The 27836-nt window shown below is 41.8% G+C and overlaps 1 protein-coding gene across 52 annotated transcripts in view, besides 2 other annotated features; it reads right to left on the bottom strand.

Annotated features, from left to right (window-relative positions):
* The window catches only part of NRXN3 (neurexin 3), a 1697919-nt gene that overhangs the window by 1444278 nt on the left and 225805 nt on the right, over nt 1-27836 (bottom strand). The window contains exon 1 of one of the 52 annotated variants that reach the window (NM_004796.6): nt 20136-20295. The exons of the other annotated variants lie outside the window; for them this stretch is intronic. The gene's annotated coding sequence lies outside the window, so the exon portion shown is untranslated. Of the gene's footprint in view, nt 1-20135; nt 20296-27836 lie in introns of those variants that run through there. 52 annotated transcript variants of the gene reach the window in all.
* Nucleotides 20634-20683: an enhancer, noted in NCBI's record as "active region_8816". NCBI's record gives its function as "activates an Ori minimal core promoter by ATAC-STARR-seq in GM12878 lymphoblastoid cells {active_cell/tissue: GM12878}" and the evidence as "EXISTENCE:reporter gene assay evidence [ECO:0000049][PMID:35858748]".
* Nucleotides 25115-25284: an enhancer, noted in NCBI's record as "experimental_36858 CRE fragment used in MPRA reporter constructs". NCBI's record gives its function as "activates a minimal promoter by MPRAs in K562 erythroleukemia cells, with activity observed for both the introgressed and non-introgressed 14:78865158 variant alleles {active_cell/tissue: K562}" and the evidence as "EXISTENCE:reporter gene assay evidence [ECO:0000049][PMID:34662402]".

Raw genomic sequence — 27836 nt, 5'->3', positions numbered from 1 at the left:
TCTTTCATCTAGACTATAAACCACTTTCCTGGAATTCACTTAAGATGCTCTGACCCTAGCCTGGAGTTTTTGCAGACGCTTGTTCATATATTTGTGCCCCTACGGGAACAATATTTCCTTAAGCGGAAAGTCTTCCTCTCACTGCTAGTATCCAGATTCTTTCATAATAATACTATAAACCCTTGCTAATAGTCCCTAACTGGACTGCTACAGTGAAGTGGGCATTAAAGGACACTTAATAAATGCAGATGCATTATTGGTACAATTACTTTTGCACCAACGTAATACTTTCTAGCACATGTGGAGACAGGGAACATGCAAGGGGTCTTGGTAAACTTATCAATGTTTTTACTAAGAGAAAAGAATCAGCTGTAGCTAAGGCTACTTTACTTGAAAAGAGTTTGTGGGCCTTTAGTCTTAATTAACATACTTCTGTCTCCCCACTCCACCTCCATTATGTGGATAAACTCAAGCCCACCCAAGGACCAGATTATCACAAATTCTGTATTGATGAGGCGCCGTCATTCCAAAGACAACTCTGCTCAAATTTCCAAAATAATGTACCGGGCAGTGGAAGGTTGGAGGAGGGGAGGTATAAGCGCTCCTAGCAGGCTGTGAGCATGGGCTGATTTTTTCCCCTTAGAAGTGAATTTATAGTCATAGATTCCAGGAGGAGAAAAAAAATTAGGTGAGAGGTTGAAAATGAGCAGCAAGTTTTGGCGTCTGAATGTATCTGTAGCCCACATATTCCTTCCCCTAATAGCCTATGTCTTCTTTCTCTTCCTGTCCTTGGTTTCTGTATAAATGTGACTGAGGAGGAATTCTCCTTCTGCATTTTTACTGAGCAACAGTTTAGGGTAGTTATATTGTCACATTTCCAGTTGGAAATGCTAATTAAGTTAAACCAAATCTCCCCTGTCCCCACCTCCAAAAGGCAGAACTGGCAAAACCAACACAATTTAGAGCCACTAACTCTACAATTAGCCTGATTAGGAATAGTTTGCTTTTTTGTTTCATGCTTTCAAGTTTGGGGAGGCATCTTGTGATATTTGTTTGTTTTTAAGATGACACTTTTGCAATAATTATCAGGGGAATTTTCCTATCCACGTCTCTCTTGGGGAGGATTAGCCCTGGGTTTCAGGATGTGAGACTCCATCACCATAATGCTTGGTCTCAAATGCACTGGCGTTTCATAGCCCTTTTCCAGTCATTGCAATCACTGATCAGTTTGCATTCTTCCACTTCTGATTTCTGCAAGTCTTAACCACTTCATTTTGTGAACTGAAAGAAAGAGGCAAAGCCACTTCCCAAAAGTCTTAGTGCCTCTAGCATTGTGCTGGGCACATGGTCTGCACTGGATAAGTAGGTGTTGATTGATTTCTTGATTGATTAACCCATATTACAGTGCAAAGCCTTAGCTCTCTGGTATGTTGAAGCACACACTCTTTCCCAAAGAAAAAAATTATACAGTGACTCTGCTAAGAGCTTTCTCTTGGTTAACACCATGATCCCTCCAACCACCTCAAAATACTAGATCTGTCTCCCCACCAGCTGATTCTAAACCTTTGCATTGAAGAGTTCATTCGTTTACCAAACATTTGTGAGAGACTACTATCTGCCAGTAATGGAGGGATGTTCAAAAGTGACGAAACAGACCATTCAGAGGAGGAGCCACACATTCATCCAATAACCTCAAGAATGAATGCAAAATTGCAACAATGATAAGAGTTCTGAAGTGTTACAAGGGCATTCAAAGAGGAAACCTGATCGTATGTGGGGGCCAGGGAAGGTTACCTGGGGAAGTACCATTTGAGCCAAGCCCTGAAGAGTGAAAAAGTGACCCCCAGGAGAAAGGCAGAAGTGCAAGTCCAGCAGTGGCCTTGGCTAGAAACCTTCACCTTTGCACAGCACACATCACTTCTCCGATCCTCCAGGGACCTGTGAGGAAGGCATGGCCACTTGTTTACCCCAGACTCTCAGAAGCTCAGGCTTATCCTCCATGAGCCAACTAATAAACGGAGCATCTAGGACCAAGCCCTCTGCCTGCTCCCATTCCAATACTGCATAAGATTAACATGCCACTAGAGAAATAGCTGGCGCTTGTTGCTTTTTTTTTATGGTTGCAAAGACAATATGTGATTATAAGGGAAAAAGTTAATCAGAAAGATGTAAATAGGAAAATTAAAATCAGGCCAGGCGTGGTGGCTCGTGCCTGTAATCCTAGCACATTGGTAGGCTGAGAGGGCAGATCGCATGAGCTCACAAGTTTGATGCCAGCCTGAGCAATATAGTGAGACTCCATCTCTTTTTTAAAAAATAAAATGAAAGAAAGAAAGAAAACTAAAATTACCTTATATCCAGAGATGGCCAATGAAAAATGTTTGTCTGTTTCTCTGGAGAATATTTGCTAGGGAAAGAGAGATGGATATACTGACTTAAAAAAATCAAGAAAGTACTTTAAAGAAAGAAATAGTCTCCATTTTATACCTAAATCTATCTGTATTTATCTATAATATCCCCATTATTAAATACTCTCCTAAAACGTAGTTTTTAATGGCTGAAAAATATTCCTAATATTATATCTATAAGGCATCATAATTTATTTATATCCTCCTTGTTAGACCAGTGGAATATTTTTAACTGGTCGCTATTTTATTTTTAACTTTTGCTGTTTTGAATGATTTAGTAACAATCCTCCAGCTCCTACAATGTAATCACGTTTTCTTTTCTTTTTTTTCTTTTTTTTTTTTTTGAGATGGAGTCTCAGTCTGTCACCAGGCTAGAGTGCAATGGCACAATCTCGGCTCACTGCAAGCTCCGCCTCCCGGGTTCAAGAGATTCTCCTGCCTCAGCCTACTGAGTAGCTGGGACTACAGGCACATGCCACCACACCCAGCTAATTTTTGTATTTTTAGTAGAGACAGGGTTTCACCATGTTGGCCAGGATGGTCTTGATCCCTTGACCTTGTGATCTGCCTGCCTTGTAATCACATTTTCTAAGAGAAATGTCGATGAGGGCAGTGCTGGGTCCCCATGCTGTGCTGTCTACACAGCACACATCATGCTCTCCAACTCTCATAAGTTCCCTACATTGAGCCTTTGCCCCATGGAGGTAACAGGTGCACTCCCTGAGCCTCCACCCGAATCCATTTCAAAAACCCACTTGTAAGATCCTCAGCCAAGGCTATAGCAGTGGAACGAAGTCAGAGCCACCAGTTTGCATGAAAACTGAGATCTTGGCCTTGAGTTCATTGGCACTTAAGCTATCAATGCTCTTTTAATTTTCCAATTGTCATTATTCAGATCCTCAGGACATTTTTTAAATTGAAGTGGACCTTAAGTGTGATCTTGAAATTCATAGTTTTCAGGTGAGAATATTCGTTATTAATATATTTCATAGCTCTTCTTTTGCCTATATATTCTTCCATTCTCACCCTGAAGCTGCACATTTGTTCCCAAATGCAACAAATGATAGCACTGAAAGGTGAGGAGTGTAAATGTTTTGCCTGGAGCTGGAAACTGTTCACATTAGTTTCATGGTAACCCAGATGAGGAACATGATGAAAAAGATAAATTTTATTGCATCCCTCTCTATAACATCCTCTTCACTTTATTACTAATAATCATATTTCACATATCTACCACTCATATGTAAGGGCATAAATCTGTAGTTGCAAACTGATATAAACTTTTCTCTACTACCTTTCCTGTATAAAGATTATGAGAATTTTACTGATTCATTAAGGTTTTGTTTTGTGATTTAAAAAATATATATTTGTAGGTTTTATAATTTCAAAAAGTTTGAAAATCCTCTAACCAAGCTAATCTACCAAAACATTGTTCACATATTCATCTGCCTTATCCCCCTGCTTAGACTGTCAAGTCAACTTGGGACAAATAACCCCATTTTACCTTTTTTTTCCATCTTCCCTGCCCAAAAGCAGAAGTTGAGTGCTGTGCATACAAGAGGCATCCCTTCTTCCCCCAAAAAACTATGTATTATTATCACTGGTAGTCAGGACTTTACGTGTGTGTGTGTGTGTGTGTGTGTGCGTGCGCGCGCGCGCGCACACACGTGCACACAGATATATATACATTACACACACACATGTAAAGTCCTGACTATGAATGATACTGAGAGCTGAGAAAGAGTCAGTTAGCCATGATCATCAATACGAAGTCTCCAAGGCATGTCAGTGCCAAGACATGGTGTTCTGGCTTCAAACTCAGTGGAATAAAACAGGCTCCCCTTCACCCAGTCTCTAGAACTATTCCCTTTGTTTAACCTTTAATTATTCATTACCACTACTGTTTTTCAAGTCCACAATCACCAGAAGGGGCTTGGAATCCCCCACACTCTAATTGCCACGTGGTCTTTGCATTTGAAGATGATGAAAGTTCTCCTTGAGCCGTATCCCCAGGGAAGAGGTGAAAACTGACTATGAGAGGGAGATCTGGATGGATGGGATAAAAAACACTTCCTAAACCAAAATTTAAAAGTTGGACTATGGCCAGGCATGGTGGCTCATGCCTGTAATCCCAGAACTCAGGGAGGCCGAGAAGCCTGGCCAACATGGTGAAACCCCATCTCTACTAAAAATACAAAAATTAGCCAGGTGGTAGAGGCAAGCACCTGTAATCCCAGCTACTCAGGAGGCTGAGGCAGGAGAATCGCTTGGGCCTGAGAGGCAGAGTTGTAGTGAGCCAAGATCACACCACTGTACTCCAGCCTGGGTGACAGAGTGAGACCCTATCAAAAAATAAAATAAAATAAAAAAATTAAAAAGTTGGACTAGAGGCTTAGGAGACAAGCAGCCTAAGAATGAACTCAGGTCCCACCATGAACTAGCTGTGTGACCTTGGACATGTTACTGAATCTCTAAGTCTCAGTTGTTTGATCTTTGAAATAAGGATAATAATAACCCACCCCAAAGATGGTGCTGAGGGGTAACTGAGGCTCTTCATGTAAAGGTTGGCAATGTGCCCAGCACAGAGTTAGCACTCAATAAACATTGGCTGCACTTGTTAGTGTAAATGTTGTTTGGGAGGTAATATAGTGACAACTTGAGAACATACAGTGCTGTGTTAGATTAAGTTGAAATCCCAGCTCCTCCAAGCTTGGGCAAGTTTCTATGCCTCTCTGTGCCTCATCTGTAACATAGAAATGAAAATGTATCTGCCTCATAAAGTTATAAATTGAAATGAAGTAAGCCAGGTAAAAAGCTTGGCATGGTGCCTGGCATGTTGAACACATCCAATATATGTACATCATTATTATTAATAGTACTATTACCATTGCTACCAGAATGACTTTCATAGGACATATACCGGGAATAAAAGGATGTAAGAAAATGCTTGTTTCTAAAGACCAAACAGCAGCCTACCTTTTTCCTCCTGTATTTGCCTTGTTTCCTTGTAAGGCACACTCTGACATGTTTCCAAGCTGCATGGAGTTTCTTGCCCCAATCTGTCTGCAAATTACAGTAAGAAAGGGGAGTCCCATGTTCTAGGCTCAGAGATCTTTCCCTTCTTTTCTAGGAGCTTATGAACCTTAGCTACCAATGTGGGAATGCATTCTCCCTTCTCCTACCACCTCTGGAATTTACTCCAAGATTCCTTATTTCTAAGGGCAAAATGAGAAATAGAGTACCAAAGGAAAATGTGGGCCCTTCAGAGAAGCTTGGCAGCCCCAAATCCACCAACATAAATGAAATAATCAGCTGTACTTATTTCTAACACACAAAAGCCCCAGAAATGGAGCAGATTCTGGGTCTCAAATCCATGTGTGTAAGACTTGCTTAATTTCTCACGTAATGCTAACTAGTAAAACATTCCCCAGTCCACCCCAGGCTAATATATCTCTATGCCCTTGCCTAGGCTTTTAGGTCCCAGAGCCATACAAATTTCACCTTCATGGAGAACATGCACACTAATTCCAACCTAAATATGCAACCTCAGGCCAGGCTTGGGGGCTCATGCCTGTAATCCCAGCACTTTGGGAGGCTGAGATGGGTGGATCATCTGAGGTCAGGAGTTTGAGACCAGCCTGGCCAATGTGGCAAAACACTGTCTCTACTAAAAATACAAAAATTAGCTGGGCGTGGTGGCATGCACCTGTAATTCCAGCTACTCAGGAGGCTAAGAGAGGAGAATCGCTTGAACCCAGGAGGTGCAGGTTGCAGTGAGACCAGATCGTGCCATTGCACTCCAGCCTGGGGGACAAGAGTGAGACTCTGTCTCTAAAATAAATGTGTAACCTCAAAACAGGAAGCTCCTCAGATCAAAGGAGACTCAGATTCAAGATGAGAATCTTGTCTCCACTGCTCATGTGCTTCTGTGACAACCCAAAGAGGTATTTTCATAAATTTACTAATACCACAAACATTTATTGAGCATCTCCTCTGGGCCAACCAGTTATTGTGCTGGTTTCTTGGGATACCCATATTATTAAGATGGGTTCCTGCCTTCAAGGAGCTCACAGTCCATCTAGTAGTAGAGCTACAGGCCTAAATAAGTCATAATAATGCTATGTGAGAAGTGAAATGATGAGGGGAGAGACTCAGGAAATTATGAGCACAGCCTGAGAGCATCTGCGCATGCTCCCATGGGGGCATGTTTGTGGTGCATCTTCCAGCACCAGAAGGAGTTGGCCAGGCAAAGGAGGTCAGAGTCAGGAAGCTGGGAGAGCACATCTCAGGCAGACAGAAGGACATGAACAACAGTGTGGAGAAGTGAATCACGGTATGTAGGTAGCATGGAAAGTTCAAAATGGGCAGTGGCGCAAGATGAAGCTGGACAGGTGGGCAGGAGCCAGACTATGGAGAGCCTTGTAAGCTAAGCTAAGAGTGTGGACAACATCCCACAGGCATTGGGAAGCCATGATGGCTTTAAGCCGGGGGCCAGCATAGTTGACCTTGCATTTCAGGGAGATTGCTCTGGGGGCTGCAGGACAAAATAGTCTTGAGACCACAAGTGGTAAGACCAGTTACAAGGTTACAGCAGGAGCCCAGATAAGGTATAATTTAAGCCTGATTTCTGTCCAGTCCTTATATCTGTTTAAATAAAGTCCTTCTGTTTCATTACAAAGCACTTGTCATTCACCTAATAGAATTGCTAGGCCCATCCTAGTTCACATTGACCCAAATGCCACTGGAGTAAAGTTTGGCATTTCACAAGACCACAGGTGTCTCTGAATTGAGCTAATCTACAAAGACTGCAGCAGTACAGTTTTCCTACCTGCCTCTCAGTTCTGACTGTGGACAAGCAAATGGAAGCAACAGTGCCCACCTGGATCCATGTGCCTCCAAGTGAGTGTAATTCGGTGCTAGAGCAAAAGCCAATGGCATGCATTAGTTATTACTATAAGACGCAATTCTGCAATAAAATACAATACGGTCACTTTCAATATGTACTAAAAGTGATTTACCAGAGCTCATGGGGAGTGACTTAGATGACTATTTGATTACAATACATAGGATAAATCACCTTCATTTGAGGGTTAAATTATCCCATCTGACAACTCTAGATCAATTTGACAGTTAAAATCAGTGTCGCCACCCTCCTTACCCAAGGCACACTGAGTTTGTCCTGGTTCATGTGAGTGAAAAAAACAAAGCATACAACAGACCCTTTTCTTTTCCTTCCATAGCAATTTCCTATCCTTTATTCAGGGCTCAACTGAAGCCCCAGGTCCTCTGAAGCCATGTCTGAAAACATTAACCCACTCTACAGGGAATAAGTCATCATGGTAAATGTCTGCACTGCAAATGCAGAACAGTAAGAATTAAACTTCTCATAAAATCACCTTGTTTATGAATGATCTAGGATGAATGTATCCAAGAGAGATAGTCTTCAAATATGGCTGCCAATCACTCCTCCCCTTCAAGTACATGCATGCCATTCTGCCAACAATACTCTGAGTTTAATTTCCCTCCCCTTGAATCCGCATTGTCCATGTGACTTGCTTTACTTATAGAATTGACGGTGCACCAATTCCAGGCTAAACCTTAAGAAGACAAGTGTCTTAGTTCAGGCTGCTATAACAGAGTACAGCAGATGGAGATTAGACCATGAACATTTATATCTCATGTTTCTACAGGTTGGAAGTCTGAGATCAGTGTGCCGGCATAGTTGGGTTCTTGGTGAGAGCTGTGTTTCTGGATTTGTCCTCCCATGGCCTTCCTTGGTGCATGCATGCAGAGATCTCATCTCTTCCTCGTTTCATAAGCATTAATTTCATCATAAGTGCTCCAATGTCATGACTTCATCAAACTCTAATGACCCCCAGATGTCCTACCTCCAAACACCATCACCCTGGGGATAAGGGCTTCGACATAGCAATTTCAAGGGGACACAAACATTCAGTCCATAGCAGCAGGGATGCTTCCACTTTGGAGAACTTGAAATCTAGTCACCATGTAAGAATCTGGGTTAGACAATTGAGCAAGGAGAGGAGTTGTGAAGGTCTTGTGAAGGAGCCTTCCTGTACATCCCAGGCCCAGCTAAGTTCACAGCTGAATGCAACCACATAAATGACTAAGCTAACATTACATGAAATATAACTAACTGGACGGCTTACCCAGTCAACCCCTCAACTCATGGGAAATAACAAATTGTTATTGTTTAAGCTGCCAAATGTTGTGACAGTTTGTTATGAGAGAATAAAGAACTGACACAGCCTCTTTTCTCCTCGACAAAACTGAAACTTCTTCATGAATATATTAAAATAACTGGTAAAGACTAAGTGCTTTTTACATGATAGGCATTTTGTATACATGCTGTCATCTCATCCATATGACAGTCATGCAAGCTAAATATCATCCCCATTTAACAAATAGGAAACTGAGGCATAGAGAGGATGAATAGAGAGGTCAGGAGTTCAAGACCAGCCTTGCCCAAATCTTAGAGCTGTTTCTCAAGTCTGTCTGTATCCAAAGCCTGGGTTTTTACTCTCCTTTAATGAAATCTATGGTTCCGAAGTAAGTGGGTGGACATTTCTAAATTACATGCTTATTAAAACACCATGGCACAGAAAGATGTATCAGCCTTAGAGTCAGATAGCATTGGAACCAAATCCTGTCTCCAGCATGTGAGCCTCCCTTGCTCTCCTCTCCCACATGCTACATGGCAAGATTTTTATATTAATCCAAAGAGTCAGACTTCTTCATTATAAATATAGTATTCTCTACCCCTCCGAGATCGTGTGGTTTTTCCTCAGTTTCTCTTAATCTCCTGTTCTTTGATGCTGTGATTTATTTTCTTTGCTACTTTGACGCAAACTGTTTTAATGGTGTGCCCTTGGACAAAATGCTGACTCTTCCTAATATTTATTATTCTGGACCATCAAATGGATCCTATGATTCCCATCTTGCAGGGTCATGGAGAGGAATAGATCTGGTAATACAAGTAAATCCCCTGGCACTTAATAAAGGGCATTGGTGTTAGTATTAATATTGTTAGGCAGAGTGGCTGATTCTTATTCTATGAGGTTGAAGCCGCCTATTTCATGAGAAAGGAAAACACCACCAGAATTGCCTAAACATTTTTGGCAGCCAACTTGCCCGTCTAAAAAGATAGAAAGGGACAACTCCCCTGGTGACTAGACACAATGTATCAGTTCTAGGTCCAAAGATCAGGACAGTGTGCACAACAACCACCCTGCCCTTACACAGTCCTACACACAACACTTCAGTGTCAATAAAAGGCATGTGCTGAGGCCCTGACAAGGCCACATGCCACCACTACACTTACACCTTACACACTTCGCTACCTCCTCTCAACTTGACAATATCACCCCCAGAAAAAAAAAAATCACAAATCCAAAAAGGATGGTGTATTAGCCTGTTCTCATGCTGCTAATAAAGACGTACCCAAGACTGGGTAATTTATAAAGGAAAAAGGTTTAATGGATTCACAGTTCCACATGGCTGGGGAGGCCTCACTATCATGGCAGAAGGCAAAGGAAGAGCAAAGGCATGTCTTACATGCTGACAGGCAAGAGGGCATGTGCAGGGGAACTCTCTTTTATAAAACGACTAGATCTCATAAGACTTACTCACTGTCACAAAAACAGCATGGCAAAAACCTGCCCCCATGATTCAGTTACCTCCCACAGGGTCCCTCTCATGGACACATGGGGATTATTACAATTCAAGGTGAAATTTGGGTGGGGACACAGAGCTAAGCCGTATCAGATGGGCCACTGACCTCAAACACTATAGTGGATGTTTTTGGTGCCCCTTCCAGGTCTCCTTTACCTGGCAAGTGCACTCATCCCCCAACTGCTGCAGGTGTTGGCTGCTAATTACGCTGCACCTCATCCTTCTCTGCAGAATTGTCTTTAGCTAATGGGAGCCACTTCACCTGGAGACATCTGGGAGGTTACACCCAAGGCCAATAACCACCTGATGCAGGAGTATAAAAGCTTAGCCCAGGCCAGGTGCGGTGGCTCATGCCTGTAATCCCAGCAATTTGGGAGGCCTCGGCCGGACCACCTGAGGTCGGGAGTTCAAGACCAGCCTGACCAACATGGAGAAACCTCGTCTCTACTGAAAATAGAAAATTAGCCGGGCGTGGTGGCACATGCCTGTAATCCCAGCTACTCCAGCAGCTGAGGCAGGAGAATCGCTTGAACCCAGTAGGTGGAGGTTGTGGTGAGCCAAGATTATGCCATTGCACTCCAGCCTGGGCAACAAGAGTAAAACTCTGTCCAAAAAAACAAACAAACAAACTTAGCCCTGTTGCCTCAATGCAGAGCAAACTCTGTGTCACAAGTCATGCTCAGCTCCTCTGTGGATCAGGCTGAGCTAGACCTCAGCTATACCACATCTTTGCTTAGCTTCCCTGGCCCTGCTCTTCCTCCCTCACTTCCTTGTAGCTTTTCCCCAAAAGAACTCCCTCAACAAATCACTTAAAGAAGAATCCCCATCTCAGGCTCTGACTCTGACCCAAGACAATCATCTTGATGCCTTCAAGCAAAGGTAAGAAGACAAAATGCCTTCCTTACCCTTAAGAGGCTTCCTGTTCCCATATCAAATACTTTGGCTTAAATAACAGGTTAAAAACCAAAAAGTAGTCAAGCAAAGCAAAGCAAATGAGAGACTTCCTATGACAACATCAGCATTCAATACCCACAGCAGGCCACTCTGCTGGCTTCCCAACCTCACCACCACTCTGAAGAGTAATGGCCAACAAAGGAAATCACTTCCAAATGAAACTACAGGGGATGCAGTTCAAGAGAAAGGGAAAGCAGAATTAATGTTAGTTGATCATACCATGAAACCACAGGTTTGGTCTATGGAGTCGGGTGAGCAGCGGTTAAGAGCTCAAGCTCTGAAGTCACGTGACCTGGGTTTAAATCCCCACCCTTCCCCTTACTGGCTGGGTGACCTTGGGTAAGTTACTTAACATTTCTAACCTTAGTTTCCCCATCTAAATATGAGATTAATAATAATATGTATGTTCTAGGGTATTGCAAAATGTGAACCAATACTCACCTGGCACATAGCAAATGCCCAAGTACTATTAGTTATTATTATCTTGGATAAAACAATGTGCGTATCAATCAATGTAGATGAAGTTACAGAACAGTAAAAAAACACCTCCAAATTTCAAGTGCCTTAGTACACCACAAGTTATTTCCCTCTCACAGTACCTGCCATTATGTTGGCTGGGATGCTCGGGACCCAGGCTGACTGAGCAGCCACCATGTTGAATGTTATGGTTGCTGTGCCAGAAGTCACACATGCACACTTCAGTGCCCTGATCCAGAAGTCACAGACCTTATTGGGCTCACAGCTCACTGGCCAGACTTAGTCACATAGCCCCTTCCAATGGCAAGTGAGTCAGGAAATGTCACTCTATTATGTCCCAAATAAGAAATGTCTATCAGTGAGCACCATTAACGTCTTACTACACTGTGCTGAACATCTTACATGCATTCTTTGTTTAAATCTCACACCCATCCTAGGATGTAGGGAATATAATCCATTCTATTCTACAAATAAGAAATTGAGAAATAGAAAGATTAAGTAACTTCCTTAAGGGAATACCATTAGCAATGATAAGGGTTATTTTCTATTTGGAAATGAAAACATAGACACATAAAATCTCAGAGTTGGAAAAGGACATTTGAGGTCTATGAAATTCAGCCTCTCATCCAATGTGATAATCCCTTCTGTAAGTAAATCACAGGAGCATGAAAACAGGGTCAACCCTTGGAAAAAACAATCTGGCAGCCACCCTGGCCCCATGCTTGGATAGGGGGAGGTGCAGGGAGAACTGCACTGGTGGATTTTGATTTTACATGTATACGTATGAGCAATTTAGGGGGCTTCCCCATCACCAGATGAGGTCCTCTGGGCCTATACCCTTCCAGAGACAGCCATGCATGGAAGTGATGTTTTAAATTGCAAAATCCCACAGAGTGGGCACTGACAATGAATGAATACACAGCTCATAAAAGAACCAGGCTTTCTAGGAATTGTCTCAAATTCTCACAATAACCTTGTGGGAAGGTATTATTATCCCCATGTGGACTAATCAGGACACTGAGGTCAGAGACCAAAGTGATCTGGCTAGTCAGGGGCAAGGCAGGGATCCTAATACAAATGGCCCTCACCCAGGGCCTGTGCTGCAGCAGGGAAAGGCTCAGCTTAATCAGAACCCCTCCACTGTTCTGTGATTTGATGCAACTGCTCAAAATACTAATTCAAAAGCAAACATAATAATAAAACCCATACAATAATGACAAGTTAATTCACTATCGACATGCTTAGTGTTGTGAAGTCATGTGCTGCGTGGGAAGAAAAACCTCCAAATTGTTGAGTTTGTAAACTCTAGAGTTTACAGACAGGGAGAAAATAACTGAAACTAATGTTGACCAAATGGTTGGCTATTGGCCAAGCTTGCATGAGTTTGAACATAACTACCTAACATTTTCATTTAATTTTCATAATTTCTTCATGAACTTGGTCTTCCTATTATCCTCATTTACAGATTATGAAATCTAGACCCAGCGAGATTAAGTGAATTATCCAAGGTCACCCAGCTAAGAAGTATAAGCCTTCTCCACCAAGCTGCCTATCTCAGGGCCAAGGGAAGAAATCACTGACAAGAAGTTCCCATGGCAGGAGGCCCTGACTCCCTGTCTAATAACTCCCCTAATCCCAACCCTAATCCTGACTCCCCTTCTAGTAACCCCATATATAATAATATCCCTCCTGCGGAGTTTTAATTATTTCAGAGAGTTTTGTCTTTTCTTCATCATCCTCAGAAGGAGTCTGCCAGAGTTTTGCATTTTTCAACTAAGGAGGTTTTTTCATCAATTGAAGGCTCAAGATTTTTCCTTTGATTGTAATCCAATGTTCCAACTCAGGCCTTCTGACATCAGCTCCTCCCACCCACGTATCTCCCCATATGCTGATACCCAACCAACACCATCTGTAGGACCAAAGATGTTCCAGGTCCCTCTGGTCTGAAGAAGAACCCTGGCTCAGGAGTTAAGAAACTTAAGGGCCATTGAAAAAGCCAGCTTATGTCTTATAGTCCATTTAGACATTATTTCCTATTATTCATGCCACTGAGCCACTGTGGAATACTCCTGAGCATAGAGCAGACATACTGATAGGTAAGGAGGAGAATAAGGAAACATAGGTATTATAGATGCTGTTAGCCCTGGAGGGACCACGCCATCTAACAGAGCTATAACATAGGTCACTCAAGAAGCTTCCATTGAAGATGTCACTACCATTCTCCAGCGTAAACTGAATTTCCTCAGAGACTTACTGGTTCTCCACTTTCATTTATTCTTATACCCATTGGCCTAAGCTAATCAGTGTAGTTTATTTCCATGGGCACAGTTACTGATCTAGAAACAGGCAGGTAACTTAATAGGGCCAACGATAGAAAAGCCCAGGACTCTTTCTGATAATTCAGAAAAGTAACTGTTATATCTCCCCCTAGACAGAAGCTAAGTAAAGTAAGGGTTGGAGCTGCTGCATCAATTTTGTGATCATGAGGCAAGAGGAGGAGAACTAAGTTCAAAGAAGAGAACAGAAAACCCGGCAATATTACATGAGATCTTGTATCAAGGTATTCCTAGACCCAGAGCAACCCCTAGACTTTCTCCTTATGGGACCCTCTAAAATTTCCTTTGGCTTAAGGCAGTTTGGGTTGGGTTTTCCTGTCACTTATAATCAAAGTAACCCTGATAGAGTACCATAACTGAAAAAGGTGTCAGGGTCATAATGCCTGGTGGAAATACTAGAAATTGAGATCTATCTTTTCAATAAGCTCCTTATGTGTGTGTGCCTGCCATTGCATTCTATTTGCTTTTCAGCCTCTTGACCAAACCTGAGAAAAATCAGGAAGCAGACCCAAATTATACTGAACACTTTCTGCCTTCCTCATCTCAGGTGCCTTTGAATGCTAAATTCATATCAAGAGGTTAGGGATTTTCACCCCTTCATAGAAATAGCTAAATTGAACGAGAGAGAGATAATAATTTTGAATGCAAAGGAAGGGCAAAGGGGCAGTTATGGAGATGATGAGTCCACATCAGTGGTCTGTACATGTATCTCCCTTACTCCCTGACCACGCCTCTTTTCTCTCTGCTCTCATAGTGCCTTGTACATGTTAATCCTGTGACTTCAGGCAAGACACTTAACAAGACAGTGTCCCAGTTTCCTCACCTGTAAAACAGGGTTAAGAGTCTTATAGGCTTGTTGTGATAATGCAATGACTTCAGCACATAAAGCACATAGAATGGTACCTAGCATATAGAAACCACCATCTACGCTAGTACCTGTTCTTGTTAGTCTTAGAATTGGCATCATCATCCAGGTTGTGAGCTCCTTGGTAGGAAATGATATGACTTGCTTTTCTTTGTATTTGTAGCAACCAGCCTAGTGTCCAGCTTCGTAAGTATTTATTGAAGGCTGTCCCTTGGCAGGGGTTCTGCAAAGAGATTCATGCATTTATGTTTTATCCCATGATATTAAAATTGAATTTCTAACAGAATTTCAAGTCCTGAAGTAGGACATTATGGGAGAGATTCCTGGACCATCCTCACTCTGTTAGTTTCTATTAATAGCTGAGAAATAAACAAGTCAGGTAGAAGCTATTCCAGGACAGCTCTCAACTTGAGATGAAATCTCCAAACCACTCCACCAGAAACCATCTTCAACCTGACTTATGACTTTGCCTTCAAGTGTTTCTTCATTTCTCCAGCAATGCAGAGGGGAAGTGTACCAGGAATTCCCTCTCCTTCCTGCTTTGAAAACCATCACCCTCGTGAGAATTTTCTGAGCAAATAGTTGTCTTGCAGCTCCCTGAAATAAGCTATTCAGAGGCACCTATGGAGTGGGCTTGTCATTCCATCACTAGGCTGCAACCAAAGCAGCAAAGTGGTGAGATGTCAACTAGGTGTTTCTGTTTTCAGAGGAAAGGCACCCTGAGTAAAGATATTGTAAAGGAAAATTTGTTGCAAGGTAAATGACAGGAGGGAGGCAATTCTGATGGTGAAAGAGATTCACCACCAAAGAAAGCAAGCATTTTCATGTGATAAATTTCTCTTATATGTGGACTCCCTAGTTCCATGCAATGTTAACAATTTCTTCTATTCTCTTCTTGTTCTGACATATGCTTTGGAGATCAGAAGTGTAAACAGGTAATTCAGTTGAGCAAATAAATTGCCTCTCCTCCCTTCCAAGCTGTTAAGCAGGCACTTTTAGCATTGCATAGGCTTAGATCAGGTTTCCCAGAGGCTGGCAAAATGAGGATGGTAAAATGAGACCCTAGAGAAGCAGGGGAGGGTGTGGCACCTCCATCAGAATGTGGGAAGACTTGGACATGGTCTTCCCAGTAGAAACAGTTTGTTTCACATGAACTTGTTAAACATCTTCATGAGATGGAAATAAGGTAACTTCAGACACGTGGTGAGTTGACTACAAAAGAACCTAGTTCTTTCCTATAATTATTTCTAGAAATACCAACCCATGTCTATCCCATATAAGTAGAAGATTGAGAACTCAGGCCTGTTTCACGTCATTTCACTTGTGTTATTATCTCATTCTGCATTTGTTCAAATGCTATTTATGGAGGACCTCTCATATCCCATGCACAGTAAAGCAGCAATTATAAGAGTCCAGTGAGGGAGGAGCAGCACTGGAACATGGGGATGAACAAGATGGTGTGGGTTTAAGAGGAATTTGGATATAAAATCAATACGACTTCGTTGACTAATGGGATGTGTGAAGGCAGCACAGAGAGGCTGAGCAGCAAAATTAAAAAGAGAGGTAAAGATACGGAATCTGAGATTATTCCCAAGTGTGGCTGGGCATGGCATGGTGTTACACACACAAGAGAAGAGCCTGGATAGAGGAAAGCTTGAGAGGTGATTTCAGCACAGGGCTCAAAGAGTCAATGCCTAGGACTCCTGAGGGCCCTCTGAATCCTGGCTATAATTCTATCAATTGCCAAGTCTCTTCTGCAGCCCTTTGCACCTGCTAAATTCAATTTGGTTCAAACACAGGAAAAAAATGGCCTTCCAAAGCATAACCCCAGGTTTCTTTGCTAGAATAACAAAGCTTGACTATAAAATAATTCTATCTGAGGAAATAAGAGAAAAAACAACAACAACAAAAACACCTTGATAGGGGGCTTAGTAGCAGAAATTAAAGAAGCTTATACAAAGTCAAACAGGAATCAGTACATGTAGATCCCAGGCCAAACTCATGTCTCCTGGTTCCTCCTAGTGCAGTATTTTTTTTTCATTACCCATGATGCTTCTTTGCTTTTCTGGAAAAGAAAGAAAAATGAGCTCTCTGTTTTAATGGGCCAAGCTCTAAGCTTCCCACTCAGGACCTCAGGATATGCCTCCAGAAACAAAAGCCCTTTGAGCAAACCTAGGCATGAGTTGGTAGGAGTTAGTGAAACAACAAATGTCATATCTTCTTAGGACCATTCAAAAGGATCCCAGTCCCTAAGACCCTCTCTTTGTCTCCTTGTACCCTGCTTTATCACTGAGCACCTGTTGACTTTTAGGACCCGAGTTTCACTGGAGCAGGTAGCCAAGAGCTGACATCAATGGGCTATTAGAGTGCAGGGTATATGCAGCCTCAGACCAGTCAGGGAATCTTGGGATCATTTCCACTGACATGATCTGACCCTACCAGTTCACTGATTTCTACCTTAGTAAACTAAGACCCTCTCACCCCCACCTCCAACCTCTGAGGTCTAGGAGGACGCTATCAGCATGCAGCAAGGTAGTTTTGGGATCAGTGGGCACTGGTAATAAGACATAGCTGGCCAAAACATCTATTCCCAGGAACATCAGAAGACTGGCATCTTAACTTCTAACTCAGGCCTACCCACCCTCCACTGCTACCAGTGCTTGTGCTGTGAGGATTTCTGCTCCCCTTGCCTCTCTAAATCCTCTGCTATGGGACATTAGTGGGCTACCAACCATTCGTTCCCCTTCTTCTACCCAGATTTTCCTTTTGCAAAATTTATTCTCTATTAGTCTTACCTATGCTGTTTAGTAGAGGGTACAGAATAAACTGTCTCCTGTCTACCCCCAGCCACAGTTGTGGCTAATGAGAGAAAGTGGCCCCAGGAACTATGTAGGGGACTGAAACTCCCGCAGTCATCCTTCAGCTTCCGGGGGGGTAGGGTCCAGAGGACTTTAGGTAGCTGAATTGAGGATAAAGCCAACTCGGTAGGAGACACAAGACAGAAATATCCAGACCTTGGTCACATTGATCTTCTCAATCACATGAGCCAATAACCACCCCCTTGCTGTTTAAGCCAGTTTGGATTGGGCTTTTTTGTCATCTGCTCATGCTTCAAAGCCCATCTTAATTTCTACTTCTCCATGGGAGCCATCTCTCACCAAACTTCCTAGCCCTTAGCATGCACTGTCTTGTAAAAGTCTTTCCTGAATGTCTTTTCTTACAGATGTGCAGTACAGTTGAAGTAAACAGTTTCCCTCATGATTCATCCATTCACTACCTGCAATGTTAGGCATGGTGCATAATATGTGAGTCTCGGTTTCCTCATTTGTGAATAGGATAAAATTATTTTCCCATCCAAGAGAAATAAACTAGACAATGTAACAGCACCTGCTATGTGGGTAGCAGAGTCAGCTACTTGGGGAACAGGGACTCCTGGGTTTGACACCCTGAGTATGCCAAGAATTCCATGCCGTACACATAGTTGATATTAAGTCCATATTTTTGTATGGGTTGAATGAAATGAATGTGTCCCCCAGCTCCAAGTCTGGGAATATTAGCTGAGCCAGGTCGACCCAGCAAGCATAGCATCTGTCCACAATCCCCTTGGCTCCCCGCCAGGCTCCCAGCCCTGCAGTTGCAGGAATTCATCAGATACCCGGAACCCCCCCGCCCCTTCCCCAGCATCCACTCTAAAGCCAATTCAAGTTCCAGGCAGCCTGTATAGCTTGTATATAAACTGTGGCCAGTGACAAACACTCTGAGATGAGGAGGGAATGATCAGTGATAATAGTGTACTTTTGCAGCTGAGAAAATAATAGAATATTTTATTAAGCAGGATCGGAAGGGAAATATGATCTTCCTGATTCAGTTTCAAATAGGGGAAAGAAAAAGTAAGCAAAGCACTGTGAAGCTATGACAGAGCAGCCCAGCCTATGGAATGGAGAAGAGCCACCCAATTATCTGCTTTATCACCTCCAAAGGGCAAAACATTCAACCCTCCATGTATGACTCAATCCCCTGCATGACTGTTATCTGCCCTTTGCTAGTTTTACCTCACTGGGACCCACAGCAGGGCCAGAACATTCATCTACTTTACTCTAGGTTTGTAGCATCAAGCATGAGATTAGTGGAAGAAGAGGTTAAAATAAATGCTTAAATGAAGTTACAGTAACCCTTACATTTCAGTTATCTGTAGTCCATGTCACTGTAGAACCACAGAAGATCAATTGCTGGATGAAGCCTATATATTTTGTCATTTTTATCCCTAATGATGTTAATTTTCATTAAACTTGTCCCATAAGCTGCCTGAAATTCTTCTGGAATCAAGTGAAACACAAGACAGAGATGAAAGTAGACAGACGATAGGCAGGCAGAGAGACCCTGTGTTTGTGTGTCCTTGTCTAATAATTCCACTTGCAGATATTAATCTACTATTTAACAGAACTCATTTCTTCATAATTATCTACCAATCAACATTACTCTCCCTTATTACTCCATCTTATCATTCTAAGCAGAACCCAGAATATCAATCCGAGCTTATCCCAAAAGTATGTATTTTGATACTAACATTTAATCATTGTACATTTATTGAGTATTCACTCTGATCCAAGCAGTGAATTGAATGAGGCACAGTCCCTGGTCTCAAGCCGATCACTAACAGCATAATAATTATCTCCAGGGTGACATTATGATTTCTGTTAGATTCTAGAGCAGTAAAACAGTTGTTTTTCCCATCATAGTTTCCAATTCCCTCATTCCTGACCTTTCCTTGGACATTCCCTTGCCCCCAAGAAAGCCGACCCAGGTGCCTCCAGAAATTGGGAGGCTGCAGGCAATATCTGGTGCACTAGGGGAATGTGTTTGTCTCAGCCCAGCTCAAAATAGTATCTGACAAGCCTGAATCACACAAGTTCTGAAAAACTCACAAGAAATAACCTAAGAAATCTATAGCTGCCTCCTCCAATTTCATTCCCTGTCTGGCTGCTTATTGACTTCTGCAGCCTGTATTGACAACATGCAACCCTGTTTCTGTCTGCCTGCTCCCATGCAGCGACAACTTAAAAAAAAAAAAAAAAAGGAAAATAGGGAACATCACAGCTATAACTCATGCCAAAGACCCTGTTCTGGGGCCAGGCATCGGCCTGGAGGCAAAATTTCCAAGAAAAATTAGAGATTTATTAGGAGAAAAATGCCTGAGTCCCCTTCCCTTTCTTTTGGTTATCCTTTCTCTTCTCTCAGGGCCACAGAGTTCATTTGGCTACTTCAAACCTCTGCCCCACATTTAAGCTTCCAAATACCACTTTGCACCAATAAAATACATCCAATGTAAGGCAAATGGGGAACAGCCCACCCCCACCGCAGCTCACATATCTTTTCTTTTTAAAGGTGAGCCGAAAGACTTACCTGCCAAGCTCGAGTTAATTTCACTGCAGGAATGGAAGTGCAGAGTGCATATCCCTGAGAAAGCACAACCTCAGGGGGCAGAAACAACGAAGAGAGGGACCACCACATTCCTCAAGCCCTCCAGTCCTGTGTCTCTCCCGGAGCAATTGATAATCTCACTAACACCTACAACAGTGTGCAGGAAGCTGCCTTCCTAACACCGCCCTCGGTGTTCGTGATTTTGCAACTCTCTCACCCTTCAAATCTTAGTGCAGCACCGGCAATTAGAAACCTGCACACATCTGGGGCCCGGGACAGGGTGTTTTGTGCATACACTGGGAGCTTCAGCCAGCAAAGAGGACTCTCAGCAGCCTCATCCTCTCCCAGGGGATTTATTTGAATCTGCAGATTGTGTCATGCCAAACCTATCTCTTTTCTCAGTGTGAATCACTGACTCAGGAAGTCACATGGACCTAAGATTCCCAGAATGCGAGCTCTGCTCTGGGAAATACCAGGGGTATCTACTCTACTATTAGCCACAATCTTTAAATAACTACTTTGATCAGAATGCATGACTAAAGAGGACATTTTGAAGCTAAGTTGCTACTGCAGTGAGCAGAAAAGAAGTCAGGGCGAAAGCCGGCAGTGTTTCTACAGCAGTTACCTGGGGCCCCTTCTTCCTATTGGCTGATTCATAGTTTCAAGGTAGCTGCAAAAGTTTGGAATATTCTGTAGTAAATACAGGAGTCTTGAAATCCCCTTATTTCAGATCCAAAACATAGCCTTCCTAAATCCTTCACCCAATCCCACGGTTAGCTGAACAACTCAAAGATATTTTGGATTGAACCTGTCATTTCTTTGCTCCCACCTCAAACAAGAAGCAGAAATCCGGGGGCAGAATACTATATATGGAGTTGTCTTCTTATGATGCCAACAAATATAGACTCAGTTGTTACCCATAACCTCTCACAGGGAGAGAGCATCATTTGTAAAATTACTCCTTAATAGTGTTAATATTAATAATAGAAGCAGCTGATCTTTATTATGTTGTAAATATGATTCATAGTACTTTTCATGCATTATCTTATTTAGTAGCCCCCAAATCGTATAAGATATGTCTAATCAGTATTCTCTCCATTTTAGAAATGAGCACAGGTGATGTTAGAGATACTAGGTAACCTGTCCAAAGTCACATGGTTAAGAGGGGATTTCAGGATTAGACCTATGTGATTTCAGAACAAATGACTTCAACTGCTCAGCTCTACTACACTAAGTAGGTGCTCAGAGTAGACCCTAAACTGTTTACATCTTCATATTTGAAATATGTGACCATTTATGTGTGATTCCACTTTACTCCTCTGCTATATACAATGGCTTGTTAAGGACATCACCAAACGCTCCAAAGTCTTAGAAGGAATGGTAAAGATTCTTAAAAGAACAAACGGCTTTTAAGCACTTGGGCAGCACCTACTCACTTATAATTCATATAAATAGGAATTTCCTAAGAATTATTATATATTCAATAAAAGACCCATCAATCCACTTAGTAAATCTTTGTTTTCACTACTGAATGTTCTTGAAGGTGATTTTTTAAAATTCCAAGTAATCACTTATTCTGACTTTTCACTAATTCAGACTTCTTGCTATCAAGTGAAAAGGTCGTTGCATGTGGATCTTTTCTTCAAAGATGCTAGTTTATTAACACACATAACATCCTCAAGGGCAGATAGAAAGTACCATTTTCCTCATTTTTTCAATATTCAGAAGAACACACATAGATCCTATGCAGGTTAGTGGTGCATAGCACACAATGTACAATGTGTAATAAACCGCACCATTCAGAACAGTTAATCATCCATTCAGTGATTCATCACTCACCACATGCAGTGAGACAGAAACACCATTTTAAAGCATGCAATAATTCCCTTTTTAAAGCTGTACAACATTGGAATTCAGCAAACCTGGAATCGAATGCAGGCTCTGTATCTTACTAGTTTGATCTAGTCAAGGCATTAAAAATTATTAAAACTTAGAAACTAGTGAGTATGTTCCTCTATTGTGTATTGCCTTTTTAACTATAATGAATAGTTTAGCTGGTTAGATCAAGAAGTTAAGTATGAGTTATAGATTGAATCCTTATGTGGGCCAGCCAGCTTTATACAAGTTAGAAAATGGTCCATTGCCAGAGACTGGCTATTTGTTCAAGCAAAGGAGCATAATATCTGCCTTTGATTTATGAATTGAATGTTTATGTCCCTTCCAAAATTTATGTTAAAATTTAATACTCATTGTGGTGGTATTAAAAAGTGGCCTTTTGGGACCCAACTAGTGCCTTATAAAAGGTCTGGAGAGAACTAACTTAGGCCTTTTTGCTTTTCCACCTTCCACTGTTGAAATCTAATCCTCATTGTGATGGTATTAAAAAGTGGCCTTTGGGCCAGACGTGGTGGCTCACGCCTGTAATCCCAGCACTTTGGGAGGCTCAGGAGGGCAGATCACCTGAGGTCAGGAGTTCAAGATCAGCCTGGCCAATATGGCAAAACCATGTCTCTACTAAAAATACAAAAATTAGTCAGGCATGGTGGCGGGTGCCTGTAATTCCAGCTACTCAGGAGGCTGAGGCAGGAGAATCACTTGAACCCAGGAGGCGGTGGCTGCAGTGAGCCAAGATCACGCTATTGCACTCCAGCCTGGGCAACAGAGAAAGACGCCATCCCAAAAAAAATAAAAAGTGGCATTTTGGGACCCCACTAGTGCTTTATAAAATGACTGGAGGGAACTAACTTAGACCTTTTTGCTTTTCCACCTTTTACCGTGTGAGGACAGAGCATTTGTCACCTCCAGAGGATTAGCAAGAAGGCACCATCTTGGAAGCAGGGAACAGGGTCCTCACCAGATGCTGAACCTGCCAGCACTTTGATATTGGACTTCTCAGCCTCCAGAACTGTGAGAAATAAATTTCCCTTGTTTATAAATTCCCCAGTCTCAGGTATGTTATTATAGCAGCACAAACAGATGAAGATGGTTTTCATCATAAAAATTGGGGGAGGGTGCAGAGGAGAATGGGAAATGGTGAGGATTAATCATGATAATCTATCACTGGTAATCAGAGAGAAACCGACTGCATACACCCAGCCAGGCAGTCATTTAGTGATTTTCATAAACACAGTGGAGAGTGTATTTCCACTTTGAAGACAGAGACCATCAATTACATACTAAGTCCATAACTTAGAGAATTGTCAGGTTTAACTTAATAATGCCTATACAGCATCATGCACAGTCCAGGGAATAAGTGCTCAATAAACACCTTGAAGATCCTTCACTAGCTCACTGGAATCCAACCCCCTTGAGGATTCTCAGGCCCATGTATTTTTGCGGTACCTTTTAGAAATATCCGCAATCCGATGAATCAAACTAAATACTTGGGAGTTAATAGACTGACAGCTAGGTAAAGTTTCTATAAAAGATGCCCATAAAGCTCAAGAAGAGAAAATAGTTGCCTATGGTTGGTTTAAGTCTTAAAAGTACCACCAGTAAAAACACTGTCAGATAAAGGAAGACAGCTGAAACTTTACTTCGAGTTTATAGAAATTTTGAAACTAATCTTTCTGACTTTTGCCTGCTGTATTAGTAATGGAATGGATGGAGGGAATAACTACTACTTCTTGGCTCCAAGGTCAACTCATAATAGGAGACTGCTGTATTTTTTCTATGTCTGAGAGAAATTTCTCTTAAAGGGGAATAATGCCTTTTTCTGCCATGGCTGCATCATCCCCTTTCAATATTTCTAATAGAATGAAGTAAAATGTTTTACAGTTATTTCTCTGCAAATACTGAAAGAAAAAGAAAACAAAACACAGACTGGTCAATTATTTATTTTCTGTTACAATAGATATTGTAAAAACAAAGAATAGTAAATGTAGTATAGATAAATGATGTGAGAAAATTTCCCCTAGTTACATAGCTAATTCTAGTTTCCCTCTGACACTATTAGGATCTTGAGGGAGGGGCCTCTCTGCTGCCTTGCATTTTTCCGGAGGACTTTTTCTACCATTCTACAAAACAGAGCAACTTAATGGCTAGAGGTGGCAGTGACACAAGCAATTGAAGACTATGACAGTGTTGTGAATTTCCCAAGGATTCAGCCAGACTAGCGAATAGCTAGAATGGATAGCAAATAAAAATTACTGTCAAAAATAGCCAATGCATCACTAGTTATTAAGGGCCAACTAACCACAAATTCACCAGGCAGCAGTTAGACATTGAGTATGGAAGGGTAGAGCAGAGTAGTTAGAGGCTGGTATTTAAAAAGGTTAAACAGAAGAAGAAATTAGAAGACAGAGAAATGGAAAATTCTCATGCACTGAGTCTGAGAGCTTTAAGGAGAGTCCAGCACCCTGGACAGCTCCCTGGGAACCTTCGTATTTCCAAAATGAGCCTATACTGTAATTGACCATCATTTCTCATACACTTATCAAATGCTTTGGTGTTTTTGAAACAAGTGCACAGACTTCTGTTTCAGGGAGAATAGAGTATACATGCTTGTTTCTATTCCTTCTATTAAGTACAACTAAAAACTCTAGATACTATATATAAAACAAACATAAGATTTTTTAAATATTTTATTATGTGTATTTTTATTATGTATATGGTTGTTTTTATACTATATATAAAACAACCATAAGAAATGATAGGAGAATGTATACTAATTCAGGACCTTGAGATCTAAAGAATGACACAGCAATAAGTTTTCTGTGTTTTTGTTTTGTATCGCATATCTCAGACTAAGTATTGAATAAATTGGTAATGTGACAAAAAGCCCCATAGAAGGCCTGCTATCTCTAGTCAAAGAACCAGGAAGACAAAAAACTTTCACAAAGCAATTTCCATACTCCAGCCAAACATCACAGAAAGAGTGTGGTCCCATATCTACCCAGTCCAGTGAAGAACAACTGAGGAACATAGACCCTCACACTTGTTAGGCTATAATGGGGTCTCAACTTGCCAGCCTGAGTGGTATCAGATAAGGCCAAGCCAGGAGCCAGGACTTTCATCTCTGCCATGTAACAACAAAACCCTCCACCTCCATGGTGTCAATTGAGACCACATGGGGAGCCTGGATTTTTATTTCTATTCAGCAGAAACAAATCACCACTCCCCATCCCCTCGGGGTTATGTCAATGAAGTCCTAGTAGAGAGCCAGGACTTTTGCCAGCACCCAACATAATGAGGCAATTCCACCATTATCATCACAGTATCAATGGAGGCCACATGGGGAATAGTAACAAGGCATTTCTTTCACTCTTAGATAGGGAGGTATCAATGGAGGCCTCATAGGAAGCCAGACCTCCAAACTCTGCCCAACAGTAACAAGCCCCACCCTCATGTGTCAATATTGGCCAAGTAGAGAACCTAGACTTTTACCTGAATGAAATAGTAAGGAGGTGGTTCCCCCAACCACCTTTCCCCGACAGAGAAGTGTCAGACAAAGCCAAGTAAAACAGAAAGTTTAAATAAGACCCAGAGTCTCAAAATAATAACCAAAGTGTCCAGGTTTCAATGGAAACACATCATAGCAAGAACTGAGATGATCTCAAAATGAATAAAAAGAGACAATCAATAGATGCCAATAGTAAAATGATGGAAATGTTAGAATTACATACTTTTTTTTTTTTTTTTTTTTTTGAAACAGAGTTTTGCTCTTGTCACCCAGGCTGGAGTGCAATGGTGCAATCTCGGCTCACTGCAACCTCTGCCTCCCGGATTCAAGCAATTCTCCTGCCTCAGCCTCCCGAGTAGCTAGGATTACAGGGACGCACCACCATGCCCAGCTAATTTTGTATTTTTAGTAGAGACAGGGTTTCACCAGGTTAGCCAGGCTTGTCTCGAACTCCTGACCTCAGGTGATCTGCCCACCTCAGCCTCCCAAAGTGCTGCGATTACAGGCATAAGCCACTGCCCCTGGCCCTAAAACAGTCATTTTAAAAGCACTTCAGGCCAGGGGCAGTGGCTCATGCCTGTAATCCCAGCACTTTGCGGGGGCCAAGGCAGGCAGATCACTTGAGGTCAGGAGTTCAAGACCAGCCTGGGCAACCTGGTGAAACCCTGTCTCTACTAAAAATACAAAAATTAGCCTGGCATGGTGGCATGTGCCTGTAATTCCAGCTACTTGGGAGGCTGAGGCAGGAGAATCACTTGAACCCGGGAGGTAGAGGTTGCAGTGAGCCAAAATCGCACCACTGCACTCCAGCCTGGGTGACAGAGCTAGACTCTGTCACAAACAAACAAACAAACAAAAAAAGTGCTTCAAGGAGTATAGTCTCAGCAATGAAATAAAAGTCTCTGCAACTAAAAAGAAAATATAAATAAGAACAAAAATGACATTTTAAGAATGGGAAAAAAAAACAGAATAACTGATAAACTACAATAACCAAAATAAAAATCGCAGTGAATGGGCACAACAGCAGAATGGAGGACACAGAGGGGGAGAAAAATCAATTAATTGGAAGATAGACATTACCCAATCTAAACAGCAGCAAGAAAAGAGAAGAAGGTGAATGGAGCCACAGGGTCTGTGGACTATAGCAAAAGGTGTAACATTTCTGTAATGAAGTCCAAGAGGAAGAGGACAAAGGAGGCATGGCTGAAAAGTACTTAAAGAAGTAATAACTTAAAACTCCCCAACTGTGGTAAGAGACATCAAACTAAATGACTCAAGAAGATTAGTAAAGTGCAAGCAGGTTAAATAAAATGTTTAAATCCACATGATGGCACATGCTATGGACTGAATTGTGCACCCCTAAAATTCATATGTTGAAGCCCTAACTCCCAACGTAACTGTACTTGGAGATAGGGCTTTTAGGAGGCAATTAGGATTAAATGAGGTCATAAGGGTAGGGTCTTAATTTGATAGGATTAGTAGCCTTATAGGAAGAGGAAGAGAGAGAACTCTCTCATCTGTAAGCCAGAAAGAGAGCCCCAACCAGAATTTGACCACCCGGCACCCTGATCTCAGACTTGTAGCCTACAGACAGTGAGAAAATAAATTTCTATTGTTCAAGCCACCTCAGTCTATGATATTGTGTGATGGCAATCTGAGCTGACTACAATAACATATCAGAACTTCCAAAACTGAAGACCAAAAAAAAATCTTGAAAACAGTCAGAGAAAAATGACATCTTGCCTATAATGGAAAAATAATTTGAATGATAGCATATTTCTCATCAAAAGCCATAGAGGCCAGAGGAAGTGGCACAACATGTTTTAAATGCAGAAAGAAAATGACTGTCAATCTAGAATTCTTATCTGTGAAAATGTCCTTCAGGAATTAGGAAAACTCAACATATTTTCAGATGAAAGAAAACTGAAAGAAGTTATTGCCAGACCACCTACCTTCAAATAATGGCTAACAAAATTTCCCTAAACAAAGAAAATGACTTTTTAAAAGAGAAATCAAAACATCAGGAAGAACAACACAGTAAGCAAAAATGTGGACAAATAGACTTTTCTTCTCCTTTGAGCCTTCTAAATTCTGTCTGATGATTGAAATAAAAATTATAACACTGTGTGACATGGTTCTAACTACATGTAGGCAAAATATTTAAAATTATAAATAGGGGAGGGTAAAGAGTCATAAAGGGAGGATTACATAAAGGTTTCCACACTTCACATGGACAGTTAAAATGAGACTAGTAGACTATGATTGTGTGAGTGTGTGTGGCA

The sequence above is a fragment of the Homo sapiens genome, chromosome 14 (assembly GCF_000001405.40).
Source record: "Homo sapiens chromosome 14, GRCh38.p14 Primary Assembly".
Taxonomy (NCBI): Eukaryota; Metazoa; Chordata; class Mammalia; order Primates; family Hominidae; genus Homo; species Homo sapiens.
The sequence above is the reverse complement of the archived record's forward strand: the minus strand, read 5'-3'. Positions and strand labels throughout refer to the sequence as shown.